The 17,426-nt window shown below is 54.5% G+C and overlaps 1 protein-coding gene and 1 long non-coding RNA gene across 25 annotated transcripts in view, besides 6 other annotated features; one reads left to right on the top strand and one right to left on the bottom strand.

The window, feature by feature from the left end:
* Positions 21-90: an enhancer, noted in NCBI's record as "active region_18530". NCBI's record gives its function as "activates an Ori minimal core promoter by ATAC-STARR-seq in GM12878 lymphoblastoid cells {active_cell/tissue: GM12878}" and the evidence as "EXISTENCE:reporter gene assay evidence [ECO:0000049][PMID:35858748]".
* Positions 765-2,124, top strand: LOC107985504 (uncharacterized). The gene is made up of 2 exons (XR_001755071.2): positions 765-1,207; positions 1,931-2,124. It is a non-coding gene; the product is annotated as an uncharacterized LOC107985504 (long non-coding RNA).
* Positions 1,636-2,137: an enhancer, noted in NCBI's record as "H3K4me1 hESC enhancer chr21:44195549-44196050 (GRCh37/hg19 assembly coordinates)". NCBI's record gives its function as "activates a minimal SCP1, AML or CMV promoter by ChIP-STARR-seq in primed H9 embryonic stem cells {active_cell/tissue: H9 hESC(primed)}" and the evidence as "EXISTENCE:reporter gene assay evidence [ECO:0000049][PMID:30033119]".
* The window catches only part of PDE9A (phosphodiesterase 9A), a 121,889-nt gene continuing 106,529 nt past the window's right edge, over positions 2,067-17,426 (bottom strand). For 23 of the 24 annotated variants that reach the window (NM_001315533.2, NM_001001570.2, NM_002606.3 and 20 more), the window contains 9 exons: positions 17,144-17,248; positions 16,669-16,751; positions 15,337-15,493; positions 12,082-12,195; positions 9,284-9,388; positions 8,421-8,549; positions 6,778-6,873; positions 5,056-5,137; positions 2,067-2,296 (listed from right to left, as the gene is read on the bottom strand). In NM_001315533.2, coding sequence (NP_001302462.1) covers positions 2,283-2,296; positions 5,056-5,137; positions 6,778-6,873; positions 8,421-8,549; positions 9,284-9,388; positions 12,082-12,195; positions 15,337-15,493; positions 16,669-16,751; positions 17,144-17,248 — 885 coding nt within the window. In that variant the 3' untranslated portion in view covers positions 2,067-2,282. Of the gene's footprint in view, positions 2,297-5,055; positions 5,138-6,777; positions 6,874-8,420; positions 8,550-9,283; positions 9,389-10,421; positions 10,600-12,081; positions 12,196-15,336; positions 15,494-16,668; positions 16,752-17,143; positions 17,249-17,426 lie in introns of those variants that run through there. The other variant, XM_011529600.3, reaches the window with a different exon arrangement.
* Positions 6,162-6,663: an enhancer, noted in NCBI's record as "H3K4me1 hESC enhancer chr21:44191023-44191524 (GRCh37/hg19 assembly coordinates)". NCBI's record gives its function as "activates a minimal SCP1, AML or CMV promoter by ChIP-STARR-seq in primed H9 embryonic stem cells {active_cell/tissue: H9 hESC(primed)}" and the evidence as "EXISTENCE:reporter gene assay evidence [ECO:0000049][PMID:30033119]".
* Positions 9,688-10,187: an enhancer, noted in NCBI's record as "H3K4me1 hESC enhancer chr21:44187499-44187998 (GRCh37/hg19 assembly coordinates)". NCBI's record gives its function as "activates a minimal SCP1, AML or CMV promoter by ChIP-STARR-seq in primed H9 embryonic stem cells {active_cell/tissue: H9 hESC(primed)}" and the evidence as "EXISTENCE:reporter gene assay evidence [ECO:0000049][PMID:30033119]".
* Positions 15,572-16,103: an enhancer, noted in NCBI's record as "H3K4me1 hESC enhancer chr21:44181583-44182114 (GRCh37/hg19 assembly coordinates)". NCBI's record gives its function as "activates a minimal SCP1, AML or CMV promoter by ChIP-STARR-seq in naive H9 embryonic stem cells {active_cell/tissue: H9 hESC(naive)}" and the evidence as "EXISTENCE:reporter gene assay evidence [ECO:0000049][PMID:30033119]".
* Positions 16,104-16,637: an enhancer, noted in NCBI's record as "H3K4me1 hESC enhancer chr21:44181049-44181582 (GRCh37/hg19 assembly coordinates)". NCBI's record gives its function as "activates a minimal SCP1, AML or CMV promoter by ChIP-STARR-seq in naive H9 embryonic stem cells {active_cell/tissue: H9 hESC(naive)}" and the evidence as "EXISTENCE:reporter gene assay evidence [ECO:0000049][PMID:30033119]".

Raw genomic sequence — 17,426 nt, 5'->3', positions numbered from 1 at the left:
TGATTGTCGGGTGAGAGTTCACTTGGAAACACATCATCCTAGGTGGAGATGGTGCCGCTCACCCCAGAGGGGCGTCTTGTTCAGTGGGTTGTGCTCATGGGGGTGGGACCCTGTGTCTGCACACTCACTCCCTATGCTGGGCATGCCCCCAGGCCTGGGGGAACGCCTCTGCTGCTGGACCCAGAGCTCTCCGGGGCCGTAGGCACATCTGTCTTGTCCTGAGCCTCCACTGCCACATGCAGCCCATGATTCAGCTCATCCGTGTGGCTGCCTCCTGGTGCGGGCAGGCTCTGGGTGTGCAGGCTGACCAGGGTGGACGTGGCCTCCAACCGTGGGGCCTCAGGGACTGCTCTGTGTGACAGGAGGGTGGGTTGGTGGGCTTTCTGGGGGTCCCGTGCATGGAGACCAGGCTGGCTGCACACCAACCAGGACTAACAGTAGATGCCGTCAGGCCGGGTACAGTGGCTCATGCCTGTGATCCCAGCACTTTGGGAGGCTGAGGCGGGTGGATCACGAGGTCAGGAGATCGAGACCATCCTGGCTAACACGGTGAAACCCCGTCTCTACTAAAAATACAAAAAATTAGCCGGGCGTGGTGGCAGGTGCCTGTAGTCCCAGCTACTTGGGAGGCTGAGGCAGGAGAATGGTGTGAACCCAGGAGGCGGAGCTTGCAGTGAGCCGAGATCGCGCCACTGCACTCCAGCCTGTCTCAAAAAAAAAAAAAAAACAGTAGATGCTCTCTAGATGCCTCCCCTAATGGATCTCAGTCATTTAATTGTTTCAGGATGCAGTATAGCCTAGAACCAGAGGAAGTGTGCTGATGTGTAGGAGTGTATACATGTCCATGTGTGTGCATGTGATTGTTTCTGTTTATGATAGTAAAATTCAAGGAAGTGTTGTATGGAGTTTGATGAGGGGCACCGTTTAGTGAGATGTGCATTCCAAGTAATGTAGCAGATGAAGGTGCTGTTGAAAGAGCCTTGTTACAGATGAGGAGAGCAGGTAATCATCCCCCATAGAGGCTGGCAGGAAGGTGGAGGGCATCAATATCCGCACGCCTACGTTTTGCTTCTATTTTTGCCAACGTTGCCATATCTATTGGCTTTAATAGGATTCAAATGAAAAACAAAAGCAGAAACAAGAAGGGGTGTAGAAATCAAGGTCCCTTATCTGTATTCGGCTGGATTCGAGATGGAAAATTTTACAGGTAAAAAATGAATTATTTGAAGGTGGGAAGTAATATTCTGGAATTCACCAAAAGGAAACAAATGCCCCAAGGAAAGTGACCCAAAACAGAAATGAAATGTTTACTAAGCTCAGACCACGCCAGTGGCTTTAAAGGTGAGCTCTGTAGGGTGAAGCGCTTCGGGAGGTGGTTCTGTCTCTAGAGCGCAGGGGAGATGGAGCCCACAGCCCAGGGGACACAGCCAGCAGCCTTTTCCTTGCTTTTTATAAATCGGGTCTCCAGGAGTCCACCGCATGCGGGCGGTCTCAGTGAGAGCTCAGGGGTGCGACTGTCCCAGCAACAAGAGCCTGACCATGAACAAGCCGGGGGCTGGGTCCCCTGTGTGGACACAGTGCCACCCAGAATGTCCCCTGTGCTTGTTACCAAAACAAAGGCAGGAAGGGAGGGCCGTCTCTCCTCCCGAGATAGAGACCCTCAGACGTGCTGAATACATGTGTCTCTTTTCCTTATCTGAGGATTTAAGTGTGAAGTCACCAGCCTTCCTCCACATGAGCACCCAGTGTGTGTTGTCCCCATGGTCATGGGTGCGTTTGCTCCGACACACGACCTACAGTCTGGCCAACCTGCCTCAGTCCCCAGATGTCCCACACACGGCACTGACGTCCCCCTCTGCTCAGAAACACAGGACCCGTGCATGTCCTTGCACTCAGGGCACCGTGCTGACATTTAATGCTGAATTTACAGGGACGTACGCACCGCATCACACTGGTCAATTGCTCTAAGATACATCTGGGGGAAAAGCACAGTGTCCTTCGTCTCCATGAGAGAACTTACCGGAAGCAGCATACACAACTCTACCAAAGAAGAAGTACAGTACCCATTTCCGTATAAGAATATATTATTTAAAAGACAGTTTAAAAATAAAATTCTGTACAGCATCATGAATTCCTTTTTTTTTTTTTGTATCAGTGAACAAAATGGTTCTTAGAAAACATGGTCTTGTGGTGCCAGGTGCCCAGGGCAGCTCTTCCCTGCACAAGGATCCCGCGCAGCTCGGCCAGCCCGTCCAGAACTGCAGCCACGCCCCCCGCTTTCCTCAGGCACAGTCTCCTGGAAGAAGGGAAACGATGACTGATTTGTTTTTGTTAGAATTAGGGCGCGGTGGCTCACACCTTTAATCCCAGCACTTTGAGAGACCAAGGTGGGTGGATCACGAGGTCAGGAGTTCGAGACCAGGCTGACCAACATGGTGAAACCCTGTCTCTACTAAAAATAGAAAAATTAGCCAGGCGTGGTGGCACACACCTGTAATCCCAGCTACTCGGGAGGCTGAGACAGGAGAATTGCTTGAACCCGGGAGGTGGAGATTGCAGTGAGCCGAGATTGCACCACTGCACTCCAGCCTGGGCAACAGAGCGAGACTCCGTCTCACAAAAGAAGGAAAAAAAAAAGTGCCAGCAGTCGCAGAAACGTTACAGGATTATACACAGACTTTTTTTTTTTTTTTTGAGATGGAGTCTTGCTCTGTTGCCCAGGTTGGGGTGCAGTGGCGTGATCTCGGCTCACTGCAACCTCCGCCTCCTGGGTTCAAGCAATTCTCCTGCCTCTGGCTCCCAAGTAGCTGGGATTACAGGTGCACGCCACTACAGCTGGCTAATTTTTGTGTTTTTAGTAGAGATGGGGTTTCACCATGTTGGCCAGGCTGGTTTAGAACTCCTGACCTCAAGTGATCTGCCCACCTCAGCCTCCCAAAGTTCTGGGATTACAGGTGTGAACCACCGTGCCCGGCCGACACACAGACCATTTTAAAAGAAAGAGGCCATCAGATATATTGCTGAACACATTTAGACAAAGTAAAACAATATTGATCTCTTTTCTGACCCACTGAAAAATATGAACTGACTTAAAAATTAAATGGCAACATTGACTGAGCACTTCATCGGGACCAGACAAGCACTTTGACTGTTTAATCACTAAAACAGCAGTAACAATGGTATTATTGCCTCTGGCTTAGAGACTGGGGCTCTGAGGTTCAGAGAGGCTGGGACACTTGTGCACATCTCTCGGCTTGTAATTGGCAAGCCTGGACTCAAAACCAGGTGTGTTGGATGCCAAAGCCTGTTGCAGCTCCTCTTATGAGCCATGTCCCGTTTGTCCTGCCCTGAGCCTTGCATGCTTGATGCACTATCTCTTGAATTATCTGTTAGACATGGAGAGTGTGACCTTATTTATTGTTTATTTATTTATTTATATTTTTTTGAGATGGAGTCTGACCTTATTTATTATTTACTTATTTATTTATATTTTTTTTGAGACAGAGTCTCGCTCTGTCACCCAGGCTGGAGTGCAGTGGCACGATCTTGGCTCACTGCAAGCTCCGCCTCAGCCTCCCGAGTAGCTGGGAATACAGGCACCCACCACCACGCCCGGCTAATTTTTTTTGTATTTTTAGTAGAGAAGGGTTTCACCGTGTTAGCCAGGATGGTCTCGATCTCCTGACCTTGTGATCCGTCCACCTTGGCCTCCCAAAGTGCTGGGACTACAGGCATGAGCCACTGCGCCCGGCTTATTTATTTATTTTTATTTTTTGAGACGAAGTCTCGCTCTGTTGCCCAGGCTGGAGTGCAGTGGCGCGATCTTGGCTCACGGCAATCTCCGCCTCCTGGGTTCACTCCATTCTCCTGCCTCAGCCTCTCAAGTAGCTGGGACTACAGGCACCCGCCACCACGCCCGGCTAATTTTTTGTGTTTAAAGTAGAGACGGGGTTTCACCGTGTTAGCCAGGATGGTCTCGATCTCCTCGTGATCCGCCGCCTTGGCCTCCCAAAGTGCTTGGATTACAGGCGTGAGCCACCGTGCCTGGCCATTAGTGTGACCTTATTATGAGGTGAACAAACGGCTGCTCTGCATTCCCCGTGAGCTGAATGACTAGTATCAACAAGTACAGAGGAAAATGCTCAAAGCCATATAAAGCAAACACGTGATTTGTGAAAAGTTTTCAGTACTTCAATTGCACTTTTAAAAAGTACTTACTCTTATAAGTGATACATATGCTAATTATTGATGTTTTTCTATTAACTAAAGCATGTTCCCCTTCTTTAAGAGCCTCACTTTTTTTTTTTTTTTTTTTTGAGATGGAGTCTCACTGTTCTCCAGGCTGGAGGGCAGTGGCGCAATGTGGGCTCACTGCAACCTCCACCTCCCAGGTTCAAGTGACTCTCCTGCCTCAGCCTCCCAAGTAGCTGGGACTACAGGTGCACGCCACAACACCTGGCTAATTTTTGTATTTTTAGTAGAGACAGGGTTTCACCATGTTGGCCAAGCTGGGTCTTGAACTCCTGACCTCAAGTGATCCGCCCACCTTGGCCTCCCAAAGTGCTGGGATTGCAGGCATGAGCCACCAGCCTTAAGAGCCTAATTCTAATGATTAGTTGCAAGAAATAAAATTTCCATTCATTTGGTCAGGCGCAATCTCACACCTGTAATCCCAGCACTTTGGGAGGCCGAGGTGGGTGGATCACCTGAGGTCAGGAGTTCAAGACCAGCCTGGCCAACATGGTGAAACCCCATCTCTACTAAAAATAGAAAAACTAGCCAGGCATGGTGGCTCATGCCTGTAATCCCAGCTACTTAGGGGGCTGAGGCAGGAGAATCACTTGAACTCAGGAGACAGAGGTTGTAGTGAGCTGAGATCGTGCCATCGCACTCCAACCTGGGCAACAAGAGCGAGACTTAGTTTCAAAAAAAAAAAAAGTTCCATTCATTTAAAGGTATTCCAAAATTCAGATTTTCTCCCCTTCCTCTTTCCTTCTGTCCTTTGTCAGAATCATTGTATGCGCTGAGATGCCACTTCAGCAGAGCAAGCATTACCTTCACTGTTTTTCACATCTCTGCTTCTCTCTCTGGACTTCTCGGTGGCCCCAGACGTCAAGCTGTCAGTCTTCTTCTGTAACTGGAACAGAGTACAGAGAAGGCCAAGTCAGGGAGCAGGAGACAGCAGGGGAGTGTCTGCCTCTCTCCCAGCAGCTTCTGTTGCCTGGAGGTGCTGCAACGTGAAAGCCTGTGGTCCCCAGCCCCTCTGAGCCCAAGCACTCCTGACATGGGCTTTTCAGAGGCAGCTCTGCATACCCTGTCCCGCTACCCTTGGTGCCTCATCTGGGGCCTGGACAGTGAGCTCACCCAGCTGCAGCCACCACAGCCGCGGGGACTGGTGGTGTGTGCAGAGCCTGCGGCTTGGGCTTGGCCTTTTCACCTCTTTGGCGTGTCTCTCCTTTTTGTGGGGGCTGACAGGGGGGAAGGCAGAGGCCTTAAGGAACCCTACTATCCCCTACTGGGCAGCAGGGCTCAGGACTAGAGACTCAAGGCCATCAGGGCTATGGCTCTCGGAGGGCCCACGAGAGAGGCAGAAGCCCCTTCAGCTCTCTTGCGGGGTTGTGGAGTGGGGGAAGCCTTCTTGCTACATCTGTCCCTCTGCATAAGTGCTCTCAGCCTTCCAGAGGTTTAGAGACCTTTCTGTGACTTTCCAGTAGGAGACATCAACTGGAGAAGTCAGGGCAGCTGGTCTGGATTTTCAGTGGACTCCTAAGCAATTGCTGAGCGCCTACCATGTGCCTGGCATGGCGCTCCAGGCGGGTGTGGGCATGGGGAGCACGGGGCCGTCAGTCGAGGGAGATGAGACCAACCCAAGGCTACGCCTGGAAAATGGCTCAGTGCTCAAAAGGGCATTGTGGGCCACATGGGCTTCAGGAGCGCCCAGGCAGAAAAGACGGGGTGGTGGGCACAGTAACTAGGGGAGCCCTGACTGACGGGCCTTGGAGGGTGCTTCAGTGGCACTGTGGGGAGCGGGGGTGGCAGAGGCAACACCGGCCAAGGCCAGGAGGGGTCAAACCCTGCAGGAGTAGTAAGACTGTTCTAGCTGCCTGGGGGCGCTGGAGGGAGGAGGCAGGAGGCTGGGAGGGGCAGAGGCCACACCATGGGCAGCAGGACAGCAGACAGCCGTGGGGAATCCGTAGAAAGACTGCGTGGGCCCTGAGGCTGTGACCTGGACCCCTTCCTCCAAAATGATATCTATCCAGCAGCAACCTAAAGCCAGCCCCAGGCTCCCTGGCCCCTGAGAGGTGCCGGTGTGTGTTCTGGGCCCGGGAGCTGGCAGGTGGGTGGTCGCTTTGTCCCCGTGCCAGGGGAGGGCCCCTTTCTACCCCATGGCCTCCTCTGAACAAGTCAGCCCTGGGGCCAGGCCAGGCACTGTACTCTGAGGGGTCCCAGATGCTCTAACGGCGGCTGATACACCCAAAGACACCTGGGTGTCCACAGGTGTGGGTGACAGTTGTGATTCTTGTGAAGGGCACGGCCAGTAAACTCCCTCGAAGGTACTGAGACCTGACGTGTTCTTGGCGAATGCAGTTTTGGTTTCCCTCATCGCATTCCCTAATTTTACTGAGCCAGGCTTTCTGATGGAAGGTACACGTGTGCCTGTCCACGGGGCCTTCAGTGGTGCCCTGCTTGGCACGTCCAAGCTTCTGGAGTCGGGAGTGCGGAGGGCAGCGTGCCTGCTTGCCGCAAGGAAGGCAGGCTCTTCTCAGTGTGTTTTACCTCTTTCATGGCGTCATCTATCCGCTTCAGCTCCTCGTAGCGATCTCGGGATTCCCAAAGTGGCTGCAGCATGATCTCCTCAACCATGGGGAAGAGCTGGGAGAGACACACGGATTTATTCAGAGTCCCTCGTTCTTAAGGCAATGGGAAACGTCGGAGAAAAACAGGTGTCAGGTGCTCCGTGCGGAAACCTCTGGGCCAGTCCCAGCTCCTGGACACCCTCGTGCCGGCTCTGCTGCCTCCACCCACTGCGGCTCTGTCTCTGGCCCTCATCACCCTCCATGAGGTCCTACAGAAAGTCCCCTTCCTGCCTCCTGTGTCCCCCGTGCCCGTGAGATGAGGGTGGGGGACAGGTTGGGAGGTTCTTACAAAGACACGGGGCAGGGGAAAGGAGCTGACAGCCTCCCGGCTGAGGGTCCTGGGAGTGGGAAGTGGGTGGGTTGGCTCCAAGAGATGCCCTAGAGCAGAAGGATGCGCAGCGTAGGAGCCCAGGAAGGTCGGAGGGTGTGAGGCTGTGAGCCCAGATCCCCGGGGGGAACAAGAGATGGGCCTGTTTTGGACATGCTGGGGGTGCCTTGAGGTGGGGGCCTTGGCAGGGGGCCACAGGCAGCTCAGAGGCCCTGGGGGGAGCTGGGCAGGAACGAGCTGTGTGCAAGGAGCAAGGTCTCGGTGGCTGGGTGCGGTGAGACTGGGAGCTGGACAGGGGCTTCACAGCTCGAGGGCACAGAGCTCAGGGGTTCCTCCACAGGTGAGGAACTGGGACGCAGAGTGGGGACAGGAGAGTCCACAGCCAGTGCTGCCTCCAGGGTCCTGAAGGCCGGCAGCGATGGGTGAGGGCAGTGAGGGGCCCCCCAGGGCCCAGCAAGGCAAGGCAGGGAGTGCAGCACAGAGTGGGAGATGCTGGGGTCACGGGCCAGGCTGTGGGGAGCAGGCTCTGGATGGAACAGGGACAGCGGTCACCACGACAGCCGGGGAAGAGGCTGCTCAGGATGTGCAGGTGTGCAGGTGTGCCTGTGTGTACCTGTGTGCGTGCATGTGCATACCTGTGTGTGCATGTGTGTGCCTCTGTACGTGTGTGCCTGCGTGTACCTGTGTGCATGTGTGTATGTGTGTGCCTGTGTGTGCATTTGTGTGCCTATGTGTGCCTGTGTGTCCCTGTGTGTGCCTGTGTGTGCATGTGTACCTGCATGTGCATTTGTGTGCCTGTGTGTACCTGTGTGCATGTGTGTGTGTGTGTGTGCCTGTGTGTGCATTTGTGTGCCTGTGTGTGCCTGTGTGCCTTGTGTGCATGTGTACCTGCGTGCCTTGTGTGCATGTGTACCTGCATGCACATTTGTGTGCCTGTGTGTGCCTGTGTACATGTGTGTGCACGAGTGTGTGCCTGTGTGTGCCGTGTGTGTGCATTTGTGTGCCTGTGTACCTGTGTGCACAAGTGTGTGCCTGTGTGTGTGCCTGTGTGTAGCTGTGTGCGTGTGTGTATATGTGTATGTGCCTGTATGTGCGTCTGTGTGTATCTGTGTACGTGTGTGCATGAGTGTGTGTCTGTGTGTACCTGTGTGCATATGTGTATATGTGTGTGTGCCTGTGTGTGCATGCATGTATCTGAGTGTAAGCAAGTGTGACATGTGGTGACAGTTACTCACCTTGGTCACTGTTTCAAACATTGGGATCAGGACAAACTTGATGAACCCAATCTGGGCTGTGGCCTTGGTCACTTTGTCTCGGTCCATGAACGGTGCCACAGGAAGGCCTTCTGACTTCTCACGGTCGCTCTGCAGGGAATGCAGCAGACAGTGACATTAGAGACAGAAATGCCCCATAACCAGATCGCTGTTCTCAGAGAAAGACAAGATGCGCCAGTTAACCACCAACCAACCAAACCACACCACAAATGTGTCTCAGTAAGAACAAGGAGAAGGTGACCCTATCTTCAGTGCTAAACAGAGCTGGGCGTGCAGGTCTAGCTGGGAAGACCGACCTGAGAGATAGGCAGAGGTGAGTTGGATGGATGTATCCCAGGACGGCAGCAGCGTCCTGCAGAAAGCCTCCCGACTTCTCCTAGGGTTCATCAAGCTGTTGTATTAATATTTGGTGGTTGTTTTCAGCTGGCTTGGTTTTCTATGTCCCCGACCTTCCCCGTGGCCATCTGTGTGAGCTGACCTGCTGGGTCTCGGCCCTCCTGGGCCCCCTCCTGCTTCTGCAGTCCTTGCTTCTTGACTTTCAGGCAATTTGTTTGACAAGGCTGCTTGTAATAATGGCTCAATTAGCAGTGACAGGTGACAGTTTTAGAGTATTAGCTTTTCTGGATTGTTACTGTCTTTCAGGTCTCAAATTATAACCTATTTTGTTTCTGATGTACGCTTACCCTGAAGGCTTTCTGGAGGCTGAACTGTCGGCAGCCCGGGGAATATGCGGGACCACCCAGGCGTGCTCGTTTAACGCAAACCCTTACTAAGTGGGGCTAATAAGAGTGGCTGGAGGCTTGATTGCTCTGCAAGACTCTTACCTGCATAAAATATTCCTCTAATAAACAGTCCACCCAAGGCTCTGCGACTTCCATTGGACGGACCTCGTTAGAGATATCACAGCATTTTATCAAAATCATCTTCAGCTGAAAGAAGAGATTTTGGAATTGAGGTAACAGGAGGTAGAACACGGGCCTGCTGCTGCTGCTCGGGTCTGGACTTGCCATTACAGGCAGGAAGAGACGGAGGACCTGCTGGACCATGCAACTGAGCTTGGCTGCCTTCAGGGAGGACAGGCTCCCTTCTCAATGGAGAATGAACCTTCAAGGTCCTGTTTGGGTCCCCTCCTTCCAGCCTTTCTGGCCACCCCAGCCCAGGTGATATCCCCTGAAGCACTGCCCTGTGCCTGGTCACCCCCTATTTTCTGCTGTTCCCTAGGTGGGTGCATTGCTCATCTTCCCAGGGGACAGGTAGCTCTGTCTCAGCTTGGCCAGGGTTGGGCATGCCATAGGAGCTTCAGGAGGAGATAGGGCAGGCCCAGGAATGCAGCAGCTTCCACCCAAACTAGCCCGGATGTCGCCATAGGACAAGAGGTGGAGGGCTGGCGTCCCGTGGCCCTGCCTGCACCGGGCACAAATGAGTGTCTGGAATCACCAGGTTTCCAGACCAAAGTGTTGGTTGCCATCCAGGCTCTGAAGCTGATTAGACAGGAAAGCCCAGCTGAGGCACATGCCCCCGGGCTGCGGGCTGCACCTGCTGGTTTGGGGAACGTGACTAGGTGAGGAGCAGCTCAGTTCAGCTCGGAGTCTGCATGATGCTTGGTGGATCCTGCCTTCCAACCTCGGCAGGACCTCGAAGGGATCCTGCTGTGGTCGCCCTTCCTTTCCCTGCCCTATCAGTTCCCAGGAAGCCATTCAGGCCTTTCTTTGACTCCTCTGTGGAGTCCGGCTCCAGATCAGAGGCAATGACTAGCCTGTGCCTGGCCGGCCTCAGTGGAGCTGTCCCGACACCAGACCTAGGGCAGGGCCAGGGCAGCAGTGTCTCTGGGGAAGGTCAAGGTCCCAGGCCCTGCCGGCCACACTCCCTGCACCTCACACCTCCCACGCTGGCCCGCACTATCCTCAGAGGCCTCCCTATTGGGGCCCATTTTGAATCAGAACCTTTCCCCCGAGACCTTACCCCAACCTCTGTCCTCCACCCGTGTTCATAAAGCCCCGTCTGGGGCTCCGTAGCAGTGAGACGATGCCTGGCCGTGCTGCTTGTCATCTGACCCCGCGGTGCAGGTCGTTGGGATAAACGGAACCCTGGGCTCTGAGCCTCGCTTTGCCTCTGGTCTGCACAGCTGCAGTGTGTAAGGCTGGGGGTGGGGTGGGAGTGGGGACCTTCAGCTGGGTTCACTTGTCCTGACCACCTGGCACCCGATCCTCTGGCATCCTGCCCCTCCCCGTCTCTTCCCTGACCTCTCCTCCCACCTCAGAGGAGGAAGGCATCGGCGGGGCCTGGGTCACCCCTGACTGCAGGTCCATCTCTGCCTTCCTCATATCTTAGAGGACAAGGCGGCGCCTCCCTCCTTCCCTTGGTTTTTCAGGAGCAAGAAACTTGCTTGCCAGGAAGCCGCTCTATGTGACTGTTTCCCTCTTAGGGAAGGGGCTTCTGGTGGCCCTGGCCTGGGGAGGTTTGCCTGCTGTCCAGCCCTTGCCTGCGGGAGCTCCCATCCTCTCGCACAGTCTTTGGGAATTAACTGCACCTCAGCTCCAGAGAGCGATGAGTCCTAATGACTCTACCTACTGGGACTGGATGGTTAGAAGGTCAGCCTGAGCCGAGAGTTCCCTATCTTTCAACCTCTCTGGAGGTGGAAAGTGATGCTATTGATTTTAAACAGATAATCAAATTTCAGAGTAAGAATGCCAGGGGTGCACCTGATGCTTAGACAAGGCTCCACAAAACCAGCTTTCTCTCTGAAGGCCGGGAGGGCAGTTCTCATGCACCTCTCTCTCTCTCTGTTATCTGAGACAGACCCTTGCTCTGTTGCCCAGGCTGGAGTGCAGTGGAACGACCATGGCTCACTGCAGCCTGGACCTGGGCTCCAGCGATCCTCCCACCTCTGCCTCCCAAGCAGTTGGGACCACAGATATGCACTGATTTTTTTATTTTTCTTTCTTTTTTTGTGGAGATGGAGTCTTGCTAATATTGCTCAGACTGGTCTCAAACTTTTGGACTCAAGCAATCCTCCTGCCGTGGCCTCCCAAAGTGCTGGATTCCAGGCATGAGTCGTGCTCTGGTCCTTGTGTGCCTTGGTGTGCCCAGTGCCTGTCCTTTCCAAAAGGCAGATGCTGGGCAACCTAAGTGCACCTTCTCATGGGGGAGGCCCCCTACCCCTTCTCTGGCCACCTTGTCCTGGTTATGGAGGGGTGCTGGGCTATGGTGTGGGCCTGGTGGGGGATGCTGGCTTGGGGAGCGGGAGCTGTGTTGGAGTTGCCCCCACATAGGTGGGCTTTCAGAGTGCCATGCTGGGGCTGTGCCTTCATGGGAGAGCTGGTTTTATTCTCTGGAAAGCAGAGCGAGATGCACGGCCTTCACCCACTTATCTCCTTCAAATCCAAAAGAGATGGAGGAATGGGAGAATGCTGCCTCTGACCATGAAGGAGGACCCATCAGGAGGGAGGCCCTGCCCGGACTTTCCTAGTAAGAGTCATGACCTTGAAAACCAGATTTATAGACACCTTGTTCCAAGAAGACTAATAATTTCAGCTTCTTGGCTTCCAGTGTGAGCTGGATGGATGACCTGCTTCGCCAGCCCACCGCCTGGCTGCCCACCCAGGCAGAATAAGCCACTCACCAGGGTCATGTGCTCCTCGTTGCTGTAGTCAAAATTCTCCATTTTCTCTTTGAAAGAATCCATAATTTCTGCATGTCTTGCCATGTCAGTGGCCAAGATTAATGTGATCATTCCCTAAATAGCGAGAGAACAACGTGTTAACACGGGTATAGTCTGAACAATTATTCAGCGGAGGCCTACTGTGTACTGAGCCCCCTGCACACATTATTTCATGTATCTCTTATTCCGATTCATATGTGCATCCATCACCCATCCATTTGTCCACACATCCATCTGCCCACCCAAAAACCCATCCATTCATCCATCCATCCACCCATTCATCCTCCATCCATCTACCCATCCACCCATCCATCTGCCCTTCCATCCATTTATCCATCCATCCTTCCACCCATTTATCCATCTGTCCATTCATCCACCCATCCACCCATCCATCCATCCACCCTTCCATCCATTTGTCCATCCACCCATCCACCCATCCATCCATCCATCCATCCATCCATCCATCCATCCACCCACCCACCCCACAAGCATTTACAGAACACATCTCTGTGCCAGGTATGATGTTTTCCTCTTCCAAGAAAATAAAACAACAAGCATCAGATACAAAACCCAAACCCATCAATCTAGGTCATTTCAACTGTATATATATATATTTTTTTGGGGGGATCACTTGTATCTTGAATTATTCAATTTTCCTGTAAACATTTAATTGTGTTATTAGTGAAGCATTTATTCAGTTATTCCTGAAATCTTCCATGACAAAATATATTTTTAAAAAAGTGGGACAACTAATTTTACCCCCAGAGGAGAGTCATATTTTGCAGTCAGTGAAGCATTTGAAGCAGGCCAATGCTGGTGTGTCCCCACGGTGGATGGGCACGAGAACGATCCCCTGTGCAGAGCGGCTGCTCCTCCAATCAGGTGCCGCCTCCTTCTCTTGCGGGATGCTCTCCGACATGGCTCAGTGGGACGAGGCCTACACTAAGGGGCGTTCACTTGCTTTGATTCCCCAGGTCCTGTCCCTGGAGGAGCTCCCCACTGGGGTAGCAGTGGCAGATGCAGCGTTCTCTCTTCACGGTTGCTCCTTGACCTACTGCAGACGAAGATTTGCCACAGCTTATCGTAGCCACACAGGGCACCTGCTTGCAGGGTGGGGAGGGGCACAAACATGGAGGAGAGGCCAGAGAGCCTATAGATAAAGGGGAGATAACTGTACTGGGAACCAGTGATTCAATAATGACTGTAAATTGTCTATTGAATTGTGTATGTTTGTGCAATGATGTCATCACAGGCCCGAGAGCGCTGCCGCCGTATGTCAGCGCCGAGTGGGTTCTGAGGTGCGGCTGTCGGCGCTCCTCCCGGGGCCATCACCATGCACACCCATCTGTTCTCCTGCTCATTTCACACTCACAGTGGCTGGCACAGCACAGGCCAGCAGAGGCCTTGACCACAGCATCCCAATGAACCACAGCCTGGTTCTGCCCACCTCTGCCTCTGGCACATGGTGGCATTTGACAATTTCGCAAGAGGCCGTGATGCCTCAGGGCCCCGTCCCAGGGAGCATGCTGCTTCCTCGGAGCTTCCCCAAATGCTTCACTGACTTCAGTTTTTTACACTGGGCTTTGAACTTCCTGGAAGCGTAGACAAATTGGAAAGCCATGGTAGAAGAGGCTGCTGCTCTCTGATAAAGGGAGGCTCAGCAGCACGCCTGGAGGGTGGTGAGTATCTTCCCAGTGCTGAAGTCCAGGCAGTCTTTCTTGCTGCCTCTGGAAGGAAGCCACTTAGACTTCGAATGGCTGAGGTCTGCCTTGTGGAACCGCAGAAGACGGTGCCCTGGGTGAGTGTCCTGGGGCCGCCACACAAAGTACCACAAACTAGGCGGCTTAAAACAACAAACTCATTCTCTCACAGTTCTGGAAGCCAGAACCAAGATCAAAGTGTGGGCAGGGCCCTGCTCTCAAAGAAGACTCCAGGGGAGGGTCCTTCCTTGTCTCCTCCTGCTCCTGGGGGCCCCGAAGTCCCTTAGTTTGGGGCTGCATCACTCAAATCTCCAATCACTGCGTCTTCATGCGGCCTTCTCCTCTGTGTCTGGGCTGTTTTCTACTCTGTCTCCTCGTCCAAGGACACTAGTCTTTGGATTTACGGCCCCCTTAGACAATCCACACTGATCTTATCTGGAAATCTTAACAAGTACAAATGCAAAGACCCTTTTCCAAATAAGATCACATTCACGGGAGGTGGACCTTGTTTGAAGGACGCTGCTATTCAACCCAACACATTTCTCCCAGGGTTTACTCCGAGAGCTTCCCTCCCCTGCAAATGTCAGAGAGTGAGGGTTTGATGAGGAATTCCCGTGTGGAATGGGGCGTTATTTCGGTGAGCTGGAGGTGTTTGTCTGGGGCAGGTGGACCAGGTCATCTTCCTCTCACGCAGATATCCTCTCACTCTCCTCCCATCACGCCCTGAGAGGCATAAAGCCCCCTTATCTAAAATGGAAGGGGTGGCCGGGCGTGGTGGCTCACACCTGTAATCCCAGCACTTTGGGAGGTCGAGGCAGGTGGATCACCTGAGGTCTGGAGTTCAAGACCAGCCTGGCCAACATGATGAAACCCCGTCTCTATTAAAAATACCGAAAATTAGCCGGCTTGGTGGCGCATGCCTGTAATCCCAGCTATTTGGGAGGCTGAGGCAGGAGAATTGCTTGAACCCAGGAGGTGGAGGTTGCAGTGAGCCGAGATCCTGCCATTACACTCCAGCCTGGGCAACAGAGCGAGACTCTGTCTCAAAAGAAAAAAAAATAAATAAAAGGAAGGGGGCTGACTGGGCTGTGGGTGGCAGGTGACAGCAGCTGGGGTTATGGGGCAGGGGGCAGCTCTCCTATGTTGGATGCAGCAGATGTGTCTGTCCAGGGCCTGTCCCCTCCTTGGGCAGGCTCCCTACCTTTGCTAAGCCTCAGTTTCTTGGGCTGGAAGAGGGACAAAGGATTTATCTCAAAGGGAGCCAGTGAAGGCTGAATTAAATACAGGCTGGGAAGTGCAGGTCAGTGGGATGCACGTGCGCATGGCGAGGGTACCCTCTTTTTGGGGCTCCACTCTGGGCCCTGGAGGAGGTGAGGAAGGAGGGAGGGGTTCCCTTGGGTCCCCAGGGCACTGCTGTGGCCAGGAGCTTCTGGGAGCTTCCAGCCAATGGAGAGTGGGGGCTGCTCTGTCCCTGAATGTGCCCCCACTCCGGTGGGAGGGCCCTCACCCCACACACCTGTCGGATCTGCTTGAACCCATCAGGTGGGATGTTGGAGAAGATGTTGCACTCAGGCTCGGCGAGGATCTGGAAGGCCACGGCGCAGTGGTGGTTCTCCAGCGGTGAGATGTCATTGTAGCGGACCGCCAGCTCTGTGCGGGCATTGATCTGGTACCTGGGAGGCAAGGAGAGAGTGAGGGGAGACTCAGGCGCCCTCACCAGGTACCTGCACGGGGGAGCAACACCCAGCCATGTAAGTGGAGCAAGTAGAGTCAGGAGAAGGTGCCGTGGGGGCTGGGGGAGCTGCCTGTGCCCTGGCCTGGCCAGGAGGTCCCTCCTGCCGCTCAGCTGCCCCTGCAACTGCACGTCCCCATGCTCCTGCAGTCCCACCAGACAGACACCTCTGAGGAAGCGGCATGCTCCCTGGGACAGGCCCTGAGGCATCACGGCCTCTTGTGAAATTATCAAACGTCACCAGGTGCCAGAGGCAGGTGGGCAGAACGAGGCTGAGGTTCACTGGGATGCTGTGGTCAAGGCCTCTGCTGACCTGTGCTGTGCCGGCCACTGTGAGTGTGAAATGAGCAAAAGGGGAACAGATGGGTGTGCATGGTGATGGCCCCGGGAGGAGCGCTGACAGCCACACCTCGGAACCCACTAGGCGCTGACACATGGCAGCAGAGCTCTCAGGCATGTGATGACATCACACAAACACACAGTTCAACAGAGAGAGCTGCTGCGCCACTGAGGACACAGACCCAAGCCCATGGCCTGGACCTTGTCCGCCACATGGGGCGGAACTCTGTGCCTGTGGAGGCAGGAGTGGAGCAACGGTCTGTCCTTCTGATCCCTGGCCCCACGAGGGACACCTCACTCCCACCTCCTGTCCCTCTGCAGTCCCTCTTCTCCCCCTCTTCTGCTCTCTTCTGGCTCCTGCCTGTGCTTTCCCTGCGGAAGCCAGCTGGGAGCCTGCCCAGGGAGAGGCGAGCTCCTGAGAGGGGGGTGTGGAGCCCCCATCCCTGCATGCGGACAGGTGTTGCTCCCTGCCTGGGGTGGAGAAGGCGCCGGCGGGGCCAGGGATCTGCCGTGCACCTGAGCCTGAAGCCAGGCCCGCACAGGAGTGGGAAAGAGCCCCTGGGGTTTGATAATCCTGAAAGTTCCTACTCCGGGGAGACCCAAGGCCCTGGGCAAAGTCCAGAAGCCAGGAGCTGTGTCAGTGGAGGCAGAGTTGGGGGCTGGGAGGCCGTCGTTGACAGCTCCATCTGGGAACTGCTCTGAGGGTTGGGCTGACAGGTTCCCTCCAGTAGCCAGGGTGCCTTTTAAAAGGAAAAAAAGAGAAAATCCTGTACATACGTGTTGTTGTAGCCGGGATGGTCCAGATCGTGGCAGATGGCCGCTGTCATTAGGATCAGGATATCCGTTTGTGAGAACTTCTCCTGGATTGGAAAACAGGGCGTAGGTGTTTGCTCTCTTCACTCGGAGGGTGGGATGGGGTGAGGGGGGGTGGAATTGGGTGAGTGGTAAGCGGGGGACAAAGGCCCCTGCAGCCATCTGGCATCTCCTGGCATGGTGGGAGAGGATCGGCCTGCCTGTGGGGGTTGGGGGGGTGACCAGGTCGGGGACTCACCTGCTCTCGTAATCCTAGGAGCAGCCTCGCCCATGGGGTGACTGACAACGGTGGGCAGGGGTGCGTCCCTAGGAGGGGCGGAGCGGCTGGGGACCCCACGCCTGTGGCTCTCTTGGTGGGATGGGGCTGCCGCTCCCTGGAAGGGGGCCTCCGTCTGACCCCCGAGAGTAGAGGTCTGGGTGTGCAGCGGGCAGGACCCACCTGGAGACTGCAGAGCCAGACCATGCTGTACATCATCTGGGCCACGCAGAAGCAGTGCCGGAAGTTGTGGAAGGGGTTGTTTCTGTAGTTGTCGTGGACGCAGAACTGCGGGAGGCAGGGGGTCCGAGTCACCCTGTGCCTGGGCCCGCCCACCTCTCCTCCCAAAGCCACCCAGAAGGCTGTGCGCTGGTTTGAACATTCTCTGCCAAACCCTCATCCCAACCAGAGGTCAACAGTGTTCCAGGTTTACCACAGGTACCAATGAGGTGACACAGGGACCCTG

Source organism: Homo sapiens, chromosome 21 (assembly GCF_000001405.40).
Source record: "Homo sapiens chromosome 21, GRCh38.p14 Primary Assembly".
NCBI lineage: Eukaryota > Metazoa > Chordata > Mammalia > Primates > Hominidae > Homo > Homo sapiens.
This window is presented reverse-complemented; position numbering and strand designations above follow the sequence as displayed.